This window comes from Homo sapiens, chromosome 3 (genome assembly GCF_000001405.40).
Source record: "Homo sapiens chromosome 3, GRCh38.p14 Primary Assembly".
NCBI classification, from domain to species: Eukaryota; Metazoa; Chordata; class Mammalia; order Primates; family Hominidae; genus Homo; species Homo sapiens.
Genome location: NC_000003.12, coordinates 179,461,224 through 179,474,907, shown reverse-complemented (window position 1 = coordinate 179,474,907; position 13,684 = coordinate 179,461,224). Strand labels below are relative to the sequence as shown.

At 40.5% G+C, this 13,684-nt stretch overlaps 1 protein-coding gene and 1 pseudogene across 2 annotated transcripts in view; one reads left to right on the top strand and one right to left on the bottom strand.

Annotated features, from left to right (window-relative positions):
* Window positions 1-13,684, top strand: part of GNB4 (G protein subunit beta 4) — a 131,711-nt gene that overhangs the window by 52,891 nt on the left and 65,136 nt on the right. The window lies entirely within an intron of this gene.
* On the bottom strand, window positions 9,582-10,588 carry MTHFD2P7 (methylenetetrahydrofolate dehydrogenase (NADP+ dependent) 2, methenyltetrahydrofolate cyclohydrolase pseudogene 7; annotated as a pseudogene).

Here is a 13,684-nt window from a genome sequence, read left to right as displayed (position 1 = left end):
CAGTGGCTCATGCCTGTAATTCCAGCACTTTGGGAGGGCAAGGTGGAAGGATCACTTGAGCCTTGGAGTTTGAGGCTGCAGTGAGCTGTGATCACATCACTGCACTCCAGTGGGGATGACATATTGAGAACCTGTCTAAAAAAAGCAAAAAAAAAAAAAAAAAAAAAAAAGGACCCAGTCTGGGATTCTGTTACAGCAACACAAAACAGACTAAGACAGCTGTGGGCAACATGACTCCAGGTCACAGTACTCTAATGTGATACTTAACTGTAGACTCTTGCTACTTCAGTGCTGCAGTGCTTTCACTTTAGCAACTTAGCAAAAAATGTATTGTTTTCTCTATTTAAATCAGGTGTAAATCTCATCATCAAGAATTTGTGACTTGGCTGGGTGCAGTGGCTCTTGCCTGTAATCCCAGCACTTTGGGAGGCCAAGGCAGGCAGATCACTCAAGGGCAGGAGTTCAAGACCAGCCTGGCCAACATGGTAAAACCTCATCTCTACTAAAAATACAATAATTAGCCAGGCATGGTGGCGTGTGCCTGTAGTCCCAGCTACTGAGGAGGCTGAGGTAGGAGAATCGCTTGAACCCGGGAGGAGGAGGTTGCAGTGAGCTGAGACGTGCTACTGCACTCTAGCCTGGGAGACAGAGCAAGACTCCAACTAAAAAAAAAAGAATATGTGACTTAATTGAATATTATTATTATTATTTATCTTTTAGAGACAAGGTCTCACTCTGTCGCCTAGGGTGGAGTACAGTAGCACAATCATAGCTCACTAAGCCTTGAATTCCTGGGCTTGAGTGATCCTCCCACCTTGACCTCCCAAAGTGTTGGGATTACAGGCATGAGCCAATGCAGACTGGCCAATTATTACTTTTTTAAGCCTCAGTGTTGCAAACTGACGAAGCCAAACAAATCAAAAAGGACAGGGAAGAAGTCTTAATTTATATCAACCAAAAATCATCTTTTCTACCCTCTTTCTTCTCATCCTTTATACCCTCCAAGCCAAAGACAGTAATTGCCAGTGCTGGGTAATTTCATATAATAGAGAAGTGTAGCACAATTGCACTCTTGAACCGAAACTACAACCAAGTGGTTACATTTACATATTGATATTGCAGTAGAACTTATATAACAGGCTGGAATTTCTTTTCAAACATCTGTGACTCAGGGTAAACTACGGGAAGTTAGAAAAAAGTTATTTCCGTGTTTTCAAAATAGAGAAACAGAACGGTCTGTTGGATTTGCCTTTAGAATTGACACCACTTCCCAGCACTAATCTCAACTATAAGAGAAAAAACAAATTGGCTAGACATGGTAGCTCATTCCTGTAATCCCAGCACTTTGGGAGGCTGAGGTGGGAAGTTTGCTTGAGCCCAGGAGGTCAAGCCTTCATTGAGCTATTATCATGAAACTGCACTCCAGCCTGGGTGACAAAGTGAGACCTTGTCTCTAAAAAAAAATTAAATAAAAATAAAATAAAATAAATGAAATAATTCATAATTAAAAGTTGCTTCAGGAGGAAATTGGGTGAAGGGTACAAAGGACCGCTCTGTATTATCTTTGCAACTTCCTGTGAATCTATAATTATTCCAAAATCAAAAGTTTAAAAAAAAATTCCTTCAGTAAGAGAAATGGGCTTTTGACCTTGGAAAGAATTACCATTGTATGCTAGAATTTACTAGAAGAATAAGGGAAGGGATGTCTGTAGTCAGACTTTTGTCATTTTCTTTCAGTTTTTTTTGAGACAGAGTCTCACTCTGTTGCCCAGGCTGGAGTGCAGTGGCAGGATCTCGGCTCACTGCAACCTCCACCTCCTGGGTTCAAGCGATTCTCCTGCCTCAGCCTCCCGAGTAGCTGGGACTACAGGCGTGTGCCACCATGGCTGGCTAACTTTTTGTATTTTTAGTAGAGAAGGGGTTTCACTGTGTTAGCCAGGATGGTCTCGATCTCCTAACCTCGTGATCTGCCCGCCTTGGCCTCCCAAAGTGCTGGGATTACAGGCGTGAGCCACCGCGCCCGGCCAACTTTTGTCATTTTCAAAGAGTGAATTTGGTGTCCTTGGAGGGTCACTTAAATCAGTGGCAGTGAGTAGGAAAAAAGTGTTAGAATGCTCCATCAAAAGTATGCTCCCTTTTCCAACTCAAGACATAAAATCAGAAGCAATAATCAAGGAGTACCAACTATATATTTTGGTGTTACTTAAACGTTTTCTTTTAGTAATAGAAATAATAGCTGTTCATGGCCTGGTGTGGTGACTGAAGCCTGTAATCCCAGTACTTTGGGAGGCTGGTGCAGGCAGATCCCTTGAGTCCAGGAGTTTGAGACCAGCCTTAGCAAAATGGCAGAACCCTGTCTCTACAAAAAACTTGCCAGGTATAGTGACACACACCTATAGTCCCAGGTGCTCAGGAGGCTGAGATGGGAGGATCATTTGAGCCTGGGAGGTTGAGGCTGCAGTGAGCTGAGATCACACCACTGCATTCCAGCCTGGACAACAGAGCAAGACCCTGTCTCTTAAAAAAAAAAAAAAAAAGAAAGAAAGAAAAGGAAAGGAAAGGAAAGAAAAAGAAAAAGAAAAAATATGTGTTAATTATAAGAAAATTTGGTGAATATTGAAAATTATAAATTAATCCAATTTATCCATAATTTGAAACTGAGCAAAAACTAATGTTGATATTTTGGTATATTTTTTCAGTTATTATTGCTATATACATGTTTTTGTATAAAATTGGCATTAAAACTTTTTTCTTTACCTCTCTTTGAAAGGCACATACTTCATTTTCATTTTGTGAGTTTACCTTTACGTTTAGTGAGTTTTTCCCAAATAAAAAATAATATTTGTGACTGATTATGCCTCTATTATGTGGCTATATCATAATTTAATTAATCATATAATTATTGTATTTATAAATTTTCCCTAATATAAATAATTGGTACATACAAAATTTTCATTCATTAATCATTGTGTGCATCTTTAGGATCTAAGTCAAAGAGTTTTAATGCTCTTAGTACACACTGACAATTTGTCTTGCAGAAAGGGTGTACTAACCAAATATCTACTTTATTTAAAATTTAAAATTCTGCTACCTAAGTTCTCTCCATTTTGCCTCCTCAAAGTATATTTTTACATGCGCATCCCATAGCTCTTTTATATGAGAGGAATACTACTCACCTCAAAAAGTCAACTATGGGTGACTAGAAAATAACTTCTAATTACACTCATGCATTGCTTAACGATAGGGATACATTCTGAGAAATGCATCCTTAGATGATTTTGTCATTTTGCAAACATCATAGAAAGTACTTACACAAACCTAGATGGAGTAGCTTAGTACAACCTAGGCTGTAAGGTATGGCCTATTGCTCCTAGGCTACAAGCCTATACTGCATGGCACTGTACTAAATACTGTAGGCAATTATAACATAATGGTAAGTACGTGTGTATCTAAACATAGAAAAAGTACAATAAAAATACAGTATAAAATATTTAAAAATGGTATACATGTATAAGGCACTTACCATGAATGGGGCTTGCGGGACTGAAAGTTGCTCTGCTCTGGGTGAGTCAGTGAGTGGTGAGTGAATGTGAAAGCCTAGGACATTACTGTGCACTACTACAGACTTATAAACACTATACACTTAGGCTACGCTAAATTTATAAAAGTATTTCTTATTTCAATAATAAATTAAGCTTAGCTTGCTGATACTTTTTTTTTTTTTTTTTTGAGACGGAGTCTCGCTCTGTTGCCCAGGTTGGAGTGCAGTGGCGCGATCTCAACTCACTGCAAGCTCCGCCTCCTGGGTTCACTCCATTCTCCTGCCTCAGCCTGCCGAGTAGCTGGGACTACAGGCACCCACCACAACGCCCGGCTAATTTTATGTATTTTTGGTAGAGAGGGGGTTTCACAATGTTAGCCAGGATGGTCTCAATCTCCTGACCTCGTGATCCGCCCTCCTCAGTCTCCCAAAGTGCTGGGATTACAGGCGTAAGCCACGGCGCCCGGCCTACTGTAACTTTTTTACTTTGTATACTTTTAAATTATTTTTAAACTTTTTGACTCTTTTGTAGTAACACTTAGCTTAAAACGCAGACACACTGTACAGCTATATAAAAATATTTTCTTGCGGGCACGGTGATCGAGACCATCCTGGCTAACACGATAAAACCCCGTCTCTACTAAAACTACAAAAAATTAGCTGGAGCGGTGGCACGTGCCTGTAGTCCCAGCTACTTGGGAGGTTGAGGCAGGAGAATTGCTTGAACCCAGGAGGCAGAGGTTGCAGTGAGCAGAGATCGCGCCATTGCACTCCAGCCTAGGTGACAGAGTGAGGCTCCATTAAAAAAATTATATATATATATTTTTTTCTTTAATATATATATATTTTTTTCTTTCTCTATATCTTCATTCTCAAAGCTTCTTTCAATTAATTTTTTTTTAACTTTGTAAATTTTTGTTAAAAACTTAGACACAAACACAAACAATAGCCTAGGCCTACACAGGGTTGGGGTCATCAATATCACTGTCTCCCTCCTCCACATCTTGCCATCTATACTGGAAGGCTTCAGGGGCAATAACACACAAGGAGCTGTCACTTCCTATGATAACCATGCTTTCTTCTGGAATACCTCCTGAAAGACCTGGCTGGGGCTGTTTTACAGTTAACTTTTTTCTTTTTATAAGTTGTAGGAGTATACTCTAAAATAACAATAAAAAGTATAGTGTAGCAAATATATAAACCAGCCACAAAGTTGCTTATTATCATTGTCAAATATTGTATATTGCATGTACCTAATTGTATTGCTATACTTTTATACAACAGTGTTTGTTTACACCAGCATCACCACAAACACAGCACTTCATTGTTACCATGTCACTGGGTGATAGGAGTTTTCAGCTTCCTTGTAATCTATGGGATCACTGTGAAATATCTAGTTCATAGTTGATTGAAACATTGTTATGTGACACATGGCTGCGTAAGACTGAGTTCCTTGGCCTCAGTATAAGGAAGGCAGAGAAGATGCCGTCCGTCACTTTCAGAACTTTCTTGTAACCATCTTAACATTAGTATGTTTTTGCATTTTCTAAAACTGCATTAGCCTAATACACTAGCACTGTATTACTAGGTGCTAGAGAAATTCAAATGAGTAACACTGTGGTGGAAAGAGAGAGGAAAGAATGGTTTCCTAAGGTTTAAGACCTTAGACTCCTCATGGAAAGGACCATATTCCTCAGTGTTTCTCAAGCTTTAATGTGCTTATAAATTACATAGGACCTTTTAATTTTTTTTACTATTGCTATTTTATGGTGTGATTAACATTTGTATACTGAACTTAGTCTGCATCTTATTTTTTCACTCAATAACGTGTCATGCAGAACTTGACACAACTATCTATTTCTGTACCAATACAATAATAATCTTAGAATATGTTTTCATAGTTTGTTGTGCAGGCCCCTCCTATTTTTGTTCAATTAAAAAAGTATTTGTTCTACTTGTGCTTTACTCTTTCATATGTGATTTATCTCATTTTTTCAGCTTTATTGTGGTATAATTGACAAATAAAATTGTATATATTTAAGGTATAACCCAAAAAGTAACTGAGACAAGTGTCAATCAGTTTAGAAGTTTATTTTGCAAAGGTTAAGGACATGGCCATGACATAGTCTCAAGAGATCCTGAGAACATCTTCCCAAGGTGGCCAGGCTACAGCTTGGTTTCATGCATTTTAGAAAGATATAGGACATCAATCAATACGTGTTAGCTGCGCACTGGTTTGGGCCAGAAAGGATACAACTCCAAGAGAAGGGGAGCAGAGTGCCTTCCAGTTCATAGGTGGATTCAAAGATTTTCTGATTGGCAATTGGTTAAAGGGTTTATCTAAAAGACCTAGAATCCATAGAAGAAAGGGTCTGGGTTAAGATAAGGTGCTGTGGAAACCAAGATTCTTATTATGCAGACGAAGCCCCCAGGTAGCAGGCTTCAGAGAGAATAGATTGTAAATGTTTCCTATCAGACATCAAAAGGTGCCAGACTCTTAGTTATTAATAATTCTCTCCTGTATCAGGAAAAAGACCCAGAAAGAGAAAAGGATTCTTTATAGAATGTAAATTTTTTCCCACGAGAGACAGCTTTGCAGGGCCATTTCAAAATATGTCAAAGAAAGATATTTTAGGACAAAATACTTTGAGATCTTTCAGGGCCTGCTATATGTCATGTTGGTATCTTACTGCTACAAAGAATCTGCTTTGTCCATCTTAAGGTTTCTGTTTTAATGTTAGTGCTGGTCAGTTGTGCCTGAATTCCAAAGAGTGGAGGCTATGATGCATGTCCGACTACCCACTCCCATCATGGCTTGAATTAGTGTTTCAGGCTACCTTTGTTTTTTGTTTTTTGTTTTTTTTTTTTCTTGAGACAGAGTTTTGCTCTTCTTGCCCGGTCTGGAGTGCAATGGTATGATCTCGGCTTACCGCAACCTCTTCCTCCCGGGTTCAAGCGATTCTCCTGCCTCAGCCTCCCGAGCAGCTGGGATTATAGGCAAGCGCCACCACGCCTGGCTAATTTTGTATTTGTAGTAGAGATGGGGTTTCTCCATGTTAGTCAGGATGGTCTCGAACTCCTGACCTCAGGTGATCCACCCACCTCAGCCTCCCAAAGTGCTGGGATTACAGGCATGAGCCACTGCGCCAGGTCTTGTTTTTGTTTTTTAGAGACAAGGTCTTGCTCTGATGCCCAGGCTGGAGTGCAGTGGCACAATTATAGCTCCCTGCAGCCTCCAACTCCTGCACTCAAGGAATCCTCCCACCTCAGCCTCCCGGGTAGCTGGGACTGCAGGCATGTGCCACCACACCTGTTCTATATATATATATATTTTTATCAACAAAATGATCCTTTAAATTATCACTGGTTTTTCATACTTGGAATCACATTTCATTATACATTTGGGTGGGTCCTTCCTGCAAATTTTCAATGTTTATTCCCAAAGTCAAACTCCCATTCACATGAACAATACAGGTTCGACAGAGGTAATATCACATTTTACATCATAACTTTGCAGTATTAATCAACCTACCACTTTAAATGAATGATTGAAAACTATTTGGGAAGATAAAAACCAGTTTCATGAAGCAAACCTATTCCTCACAAAACTTAAGATCAGTCATTTTACCTTCAATCCACATTCAGTGAACACCAACCATGTTTATTTAATGCCTACTATGTGCCTGACAGCCACAGTGCATCTGACACTTACTTTCTCCAAAACAACTATGACTTGAACCTTGAGTAAATCACTTTGGTTAGAGTTACTATATTTGCTCAAGATGAAAAATGCAGGTGCTTTCTTTTTTAAAGAAAAATGACACTAGATCATTAACACCTTGAGTACCAGGACAGGTAATTGCCTCTGTAATCCCCAGAGTCTAGTGTAGTGCCTGGTCCATAGAAAGCTCTCAGTAAGTGTTTGATTACATTTAATCTCAGAACTCCCTTCCAAGGTATACTTCCAAGAGGTAAAACTCTAAACCTCTACTCCTACTGATAGCAGAATTTCTTAACTAATCCAGAAACATCTCCTATGCCTAAGTATAAATTCTTGCCAGGCACAGTGGCTCACACCTGTAATCCCGCTACTTGGGAGGCTGAAGTGGGGGGAATTATAGAGCTCAGGAGGTCAAGACCAGCCTGGGCAACATAGTGAGCCCATCTCTAAACAAATGTTTAAAACTTAGCCAGGCATGCTGGCACACACCTGTAGTCCAAGCCATTTCGGAGGCTGAGGCAGGAGGATAGTTTAAGCCCAGGAGTTCAAGGCTGCAGTGAGCTATGATCAGACCACTGCACTCCAGCCAGGGAGACAGCTGGAACCCATGTCTTATAAACAATAATACTTAATTTTTTAAAAAAGTATTTATCATCATCCACACCATTCCTGGGGGAGCTAAAAATCCACCCTTAACATTTCAGTTTTAAAACCTGGCTGATTAGGGATAGAACTTTGTCCAAATTAAATTGTAGAAATGCTATGGATTCAAGAGTAAACCTGCTTGATTAATCAAACAAGCTGGAAAACTACTCTGTTAATTTCTTTGTTGTAAATTGATCACTGTAATTTTACCTTACATGTCATGTATATTTTGTATATACACAAACATTTTAATTTCCATAGCTTTTAACAGGTTGACATAATACTTCTCCATGCAGGAAGTCAGTCATTTTTTCCACTTACAACTGTAATTCAATAAAATTTTGGTCACCTTGGTCATCTTGCTCCATGTTTAATAATCTAGGTAAGTAAGCAGGCATGACTTATAGACATGAGCTATACCTCACTCACAAAAACATCTCCAGCAAACTCTCTAAATTTCTTTCAACTCCAGAGAACTATCAAAAGAATAACACCAGCTGGCAGAAGAACAAGGAGGGAGGTAGGTCAATTCAACTGTTCTTTCTCTTTCTGCCTCAAGCTGCCTAGAGCAGGAGCTACTTCTGCTTAGCCCAAAGCCAAAATAGACAAGGAACCTATCCCTGCCTCAAGTATTTTACAGATTAAGCTCCTAGCTTGGCACAACCTGTTGGGATATAAGACTGTAGGACTGGCCAGGTGCGGTGGCTCATGCCTGTAATCCTAGCATTTTGGGAGGCCGAGGTAGGTGGATCACTTGAGGTTAGGAGTTTGAGACCAGTCCGGCCAACTTGATGAAACCCTATCTCTACTAAAAACACAAAAATCAGCCAGGCATGGTGGCATGCACCTGTAATCCCAGCTGCTCAGGAGGCTGAGGCACAAGAATTGTTCGAACCCGAGAGGCAGAGGTTGCAGTGACCCGAGATCACGCCACTGCACTCCAGCCTGGGCAACAGAGCGAGACTCAATCTCAAAAAAAAAAAAAAAAAAAAACGACTAGAGGATGAGGCTGGTTTCTCCAATGCTCTTTAAACCTCTGTTTGGGCGTGGGTGGCCCATGCCTGTAATCCCAGCCCTCTGGGAGGCTGAGGCAAGAGGATTGATTGCTAGAGGCCAGGAGTTCAATACCAGCCCAGGCAACATAGCAAGACCCCCATCTCTACAAAAAAAAAAAAAAGAAGAAGAAGAAGAAGAAGAAGAAGAAAAAAATTATCTATTTAAGGCTATAGAAGTAAGTGTTACTGAATATAGGAATATCTACATTGATTAAATAAGAAAAAAACTCAGGTTAGGTCACAACTAGGAGTCATAGGAAGACAGAATTTCAGAAATTCATATCACACCAGACAGATGTGTTTTATTAAAAAAGAAAAAAAGACCTTTAATCAGAAAGTCTGCTTAAATTCAATATTAACTCAAACTCTTAAAAAATTTCTGGAAAAAACAGAGCCCTTGGCTCTGCCTCCTGGGTTCATGTCATTCTCCTGCCTCAGCCTCCCAAGTAGCTGGGACTACAGGCACCTGCCACCACGCCCGGCTAATTTTTTTTTTTGTATTTTTAGTAGAGACGGGGGTTTCACCATGTTAGCCAGGATGGTCTCCGTTTCCTGATCTCGTGATTCGCCCGCCTCGGCCTCCCAAAGTGCTGGGATTACAGGTGTGAGCCACCGCGCCCGGCCATAATGGTATTCTTCATTAGCATTGCCACTGTCATGGGGCCAACACCTCCAGGAACTGGAGTGATATAACCGGCTTTTTGTCTGACTCCTTCAAAATCCACATCTCCAACCAACTTCAGTTTGGCAGTTACAGGATCATGAACTCTATTTATTCCCATATCAGTGACTGCTGCTTCTTCCTTGATCATATCTGCTGTGATCAGATTTGGAATACCTGCAGCAGATATTACAATATCTGCAAGAATTGTATGTTTCTTCAACTGCTCTTTGGAAGTATATCGATAAGATATTGTAACAGTGGCATCACCTCCGGGACGTTCATGCACCCCATCTGTGTGCAGTAACATTGCAATGGGCATTTCAACACTTTTTGACCTTCCAGCCACAACCACATTCTTCCCTAGGGTTGGAATGTCAGTTCGCTTAATTATTTCCCACACACCGCATGGGGTAGCCGGTAACATGGAATACTGGTCCAAACACATTCGCCCTGCATTAATTACATGAAAGCCATCAGCATCCTTGTCTGGAGAAACAGCATTGCAGATCCTTCTCTCATCAATATGTCTGGAAGAGGCAGCTGAACAAGGAGGCCATCTACATTATCATAATTATTCAGTTTGCTGATTAAATTCAACAATTCTTCCTCTGAAATTGAAGCTGGTTTCACAATTGTCTCACTGTTGATTCCCACATCTGCAGCTGCCCTGGTTTTGTTGAGGACGTAGGAGTGACTTGCAGAACTCTCGCCAACCAGGATCATGCTCAGGTGTGGCCGTTTGTCGCCTGAGGCCACCCACTCTTCTACCTCCTGCCGCACTTCCTGCTTGATCTGCTGGGCCAGTTTCCTTCCAGAAATTACAACAGCTTCATCTGTAACTGCCGTGAGGTGGAAGGGGCGAGGGCAGAGGGAGCAGCTGTGCACGGGCTGCAGCAGCCAGGCAGCCAACCTGGACATGAGGGAAGTCGCAGCCATAGCCTGTGCCGGTGACTGCGCCGGGACCTGTTTAATATTTTTAATTTTTAGTAGAGATGGAGTCTCTCTATGTTGCCTAGGCAGCTCTTGATTCCCTGGCCTCAAGTGATCTTCCCTCCTCAGCCTCCTAAAACGTTGGGATTATAGATGTGAGCCACTGCACCCAGCCCCAGGTTAACTTTGGAATGCCCTTGGCCCAGAGGAGGGGTCCATTCCATTGGTTGGGGGGCTTAGAATTTTATTTTTGGTTTACAAAGGTATACAATGTATTTGATATACATATATATGTGAAATGGTTACCACAATCAAGTGAAGTAACACATTGATTGTCTGTCATAGCTACCCACCCCCTTCTTTTTAGTGAGAATATTTAAGATCTATTCCTTTAGCAAATATTAAGTATATAATACAGTATTGGCCAGGGGCTTTGAGTCTGCCTTTCTGACAAGCTTTGTGGAGTACTCTGAGTAGCAGGGTTATTTGACTATTAGGAGACAACAGTTGGAGGTAACAATAATTTAAGAGACTCTATGAAGGGCTGAAAGAGACCATGAAGGTAACTAGCATTTGCCCAGGAAGGGCTGCCTGATTCTCCAGCAATTTTGCTAATGGAAATCTGCATTTTCTTGGTCTGGATAGTCAGCTGCAGCTCCTCACTAGTTTATAATAGCATACTATCTTGCTAAGAGGGAATATGATGGAGTAAAAACATCACAAGTTTTAGGATCCAACACGTGGGTACAAATCTTAGTGCTCTTGGGCAAGATCTTTTAACTTCTTCAGTTTCTTCATCTGTGGGGTGAATAAAATAAAGTCTTCCATACAGGGCTACTGAGAAGATTACACAAGCACTTGGCAGAGTGCCTGGCTCATAATAAATACAAATACAAAGGTCTAGAGTTGTTATATTTACTATTATTAACATAGTAAATATAACATTAGTTATTTCCCTCTCTTGTGGAAACAATGGCAAATTTATTTCAGAAAGTTGTTCTTAAACAATATGAGAAATACCTTCTGTTTGGGGAGACAAGATAGTAAATTTCCCAACATATGCTGGATGGTCCTTTTTCTTTTCAATGTCTTATTTCTAAAAGACGTAGTAGGGGAGGGGCAGACTCAGAGAGAAGTGTGTTGACTTATTGACTCTCAGGAGCTTTGTTTCGAGTGACTACGGACATTGCTTCCTGACCCAGCGAATGTACAGACCATTGATACAACTCCTTCCAGTAATTGAACCCCAAACAAACAATACTATTCTTCCACTTTCTTTTCTCAGCTAAACACCTCTGACATATACTGGTCATTTTTCTTTAAACCTTCCTAGATTTTCAGTTCAATCTTTCCTTTTTTTCTTCATTAGCTCTTGTTTACTCCCTTCTGTCTTTGTTGCTTTTTGCTATTCACAAATGAGGTTGGGTTGGGTGGTAAGAATCTTTTTACTTAAAATGATTTTATGATAACTCCAAATATGAGAGAACAGGAAAGTGAACCAATAATTTTTTTTTGGGGACGGAGTTTCACTCTGTTACCCAGGCTAGAATGCAATGGTGTGATCTTGGCTCACTGCAACCTTGCCTCCTGGGTTCAAGTGATTCTCCTGTCTCAGCCTCCCGAGTAGCTGGGATTACAGGGGTGCGCCACCACACCCAGCTAATTTTGTATTTTTAGTAGAGACGGGATTTCACCATATTGGCCAGGCTGGTCTCCAACTTCTGACCTCAAGTGATTTGCCCGCCTCGGCCTCCCAAAGTGCTAGGATTACAGGTGTAAACCACCATGCCCGGCCAACCAATTATTTTTAATAGATTTTAAAAAAGAAGTTCAGAAAAGTATGCTACTTATCTGAAGTCACACAGCTCATAAGTGACAGAGGCAAGATATGAACTTAGGTTTTTCTAACCTCATAGCTCATGTTCTTTCAAGTATGCCATGCTTATTGTCAAATCTGGGAGATAAAACAAGCACACAGACTATTATCATTCAAGCTAAAGTGGGTTATAGTGACTTAAGTACACAAGAGTAGTTTAGACCAAGTACTGCAAAGATCAGAAACAAGAAGGGATGTGTTCTATGGGCAAACCAGACATGGCTTTGTGGACTTGATTTGAGATTGGTCTCTGTATGAGACACTGCAGTTCATGAGAATAGCACACACACACACACACACATGTGCACACACACAGACATACACAAAGGAAAATCCCAGCACCTCTTCTCAGAATTAGGAAGAGCCAAGTTTCAGTGGAAAATACCATAGAGATAAAGCTAGAAAGGACAGGTTGGGGCCAGATTATAGAAGGCTATGCCAGGTGAGCAGGAACATATAATTCAGTAAACAACTAGAAACTGTTGTAAGTGCTTAGCCAACAAGTAACTTAATCAGAGCTAAATTTTAGGAAAATGAATTCAACAATAATATATCGGATGGATTAGGGCAGGGAAAAGCAGAAAGCTCTATTTGGTGCCATGAAGGATACACAGATGCATCACCCTTGTGTTCTATGTTTAAGATTCTCATTACACAGTAACTTTTTACACACAAAGAAAACTTCAATGAAAGGTAGAATTTAATAAATGTCATTGAAATATACAAAATGTCATAGTAGTTGAAGGTTGAGGTGGCAAAAAAAAATTTGTTTTTAGTTAGTGTAGAAGGATAGATTTATTAGACAATCATTGTCAATGTGAAAATTTTGAAAAGCTAGGTCTGATTTCATGGACATTTAAACTTCCTTGAAATTTATATTTCAGCTCATATGTAGACCCAAACAATTAGCTCACCATCTCTCCAACCTAGGAATTCCTTCCAAATACTAATGCCTAAAATCATTTTTTTTTTTTTTTTTGAGACGGAGTCTCGCTCTGTCGCCCAGGCTGGAGTGCAGTGGCGCAATCTCGGCTCACTGCAAGCTCCGCCTCCCGGGTTCACGCCATTCTCCTGCCTCAGCCTCCCGAGTAGCTGGGACTACAAGTGCCCGCTACCACACCTGGCTAATTTTTTGTATTTTTAGTAGAGACGGGGTTTCACTGTGTTAGCCAGGATGGTCTCGATCTCCTGACCTCGTGATCCGCCTGCCTCTACCTCCCAAAATAAAATCATTTTTAAAAATTATATATTA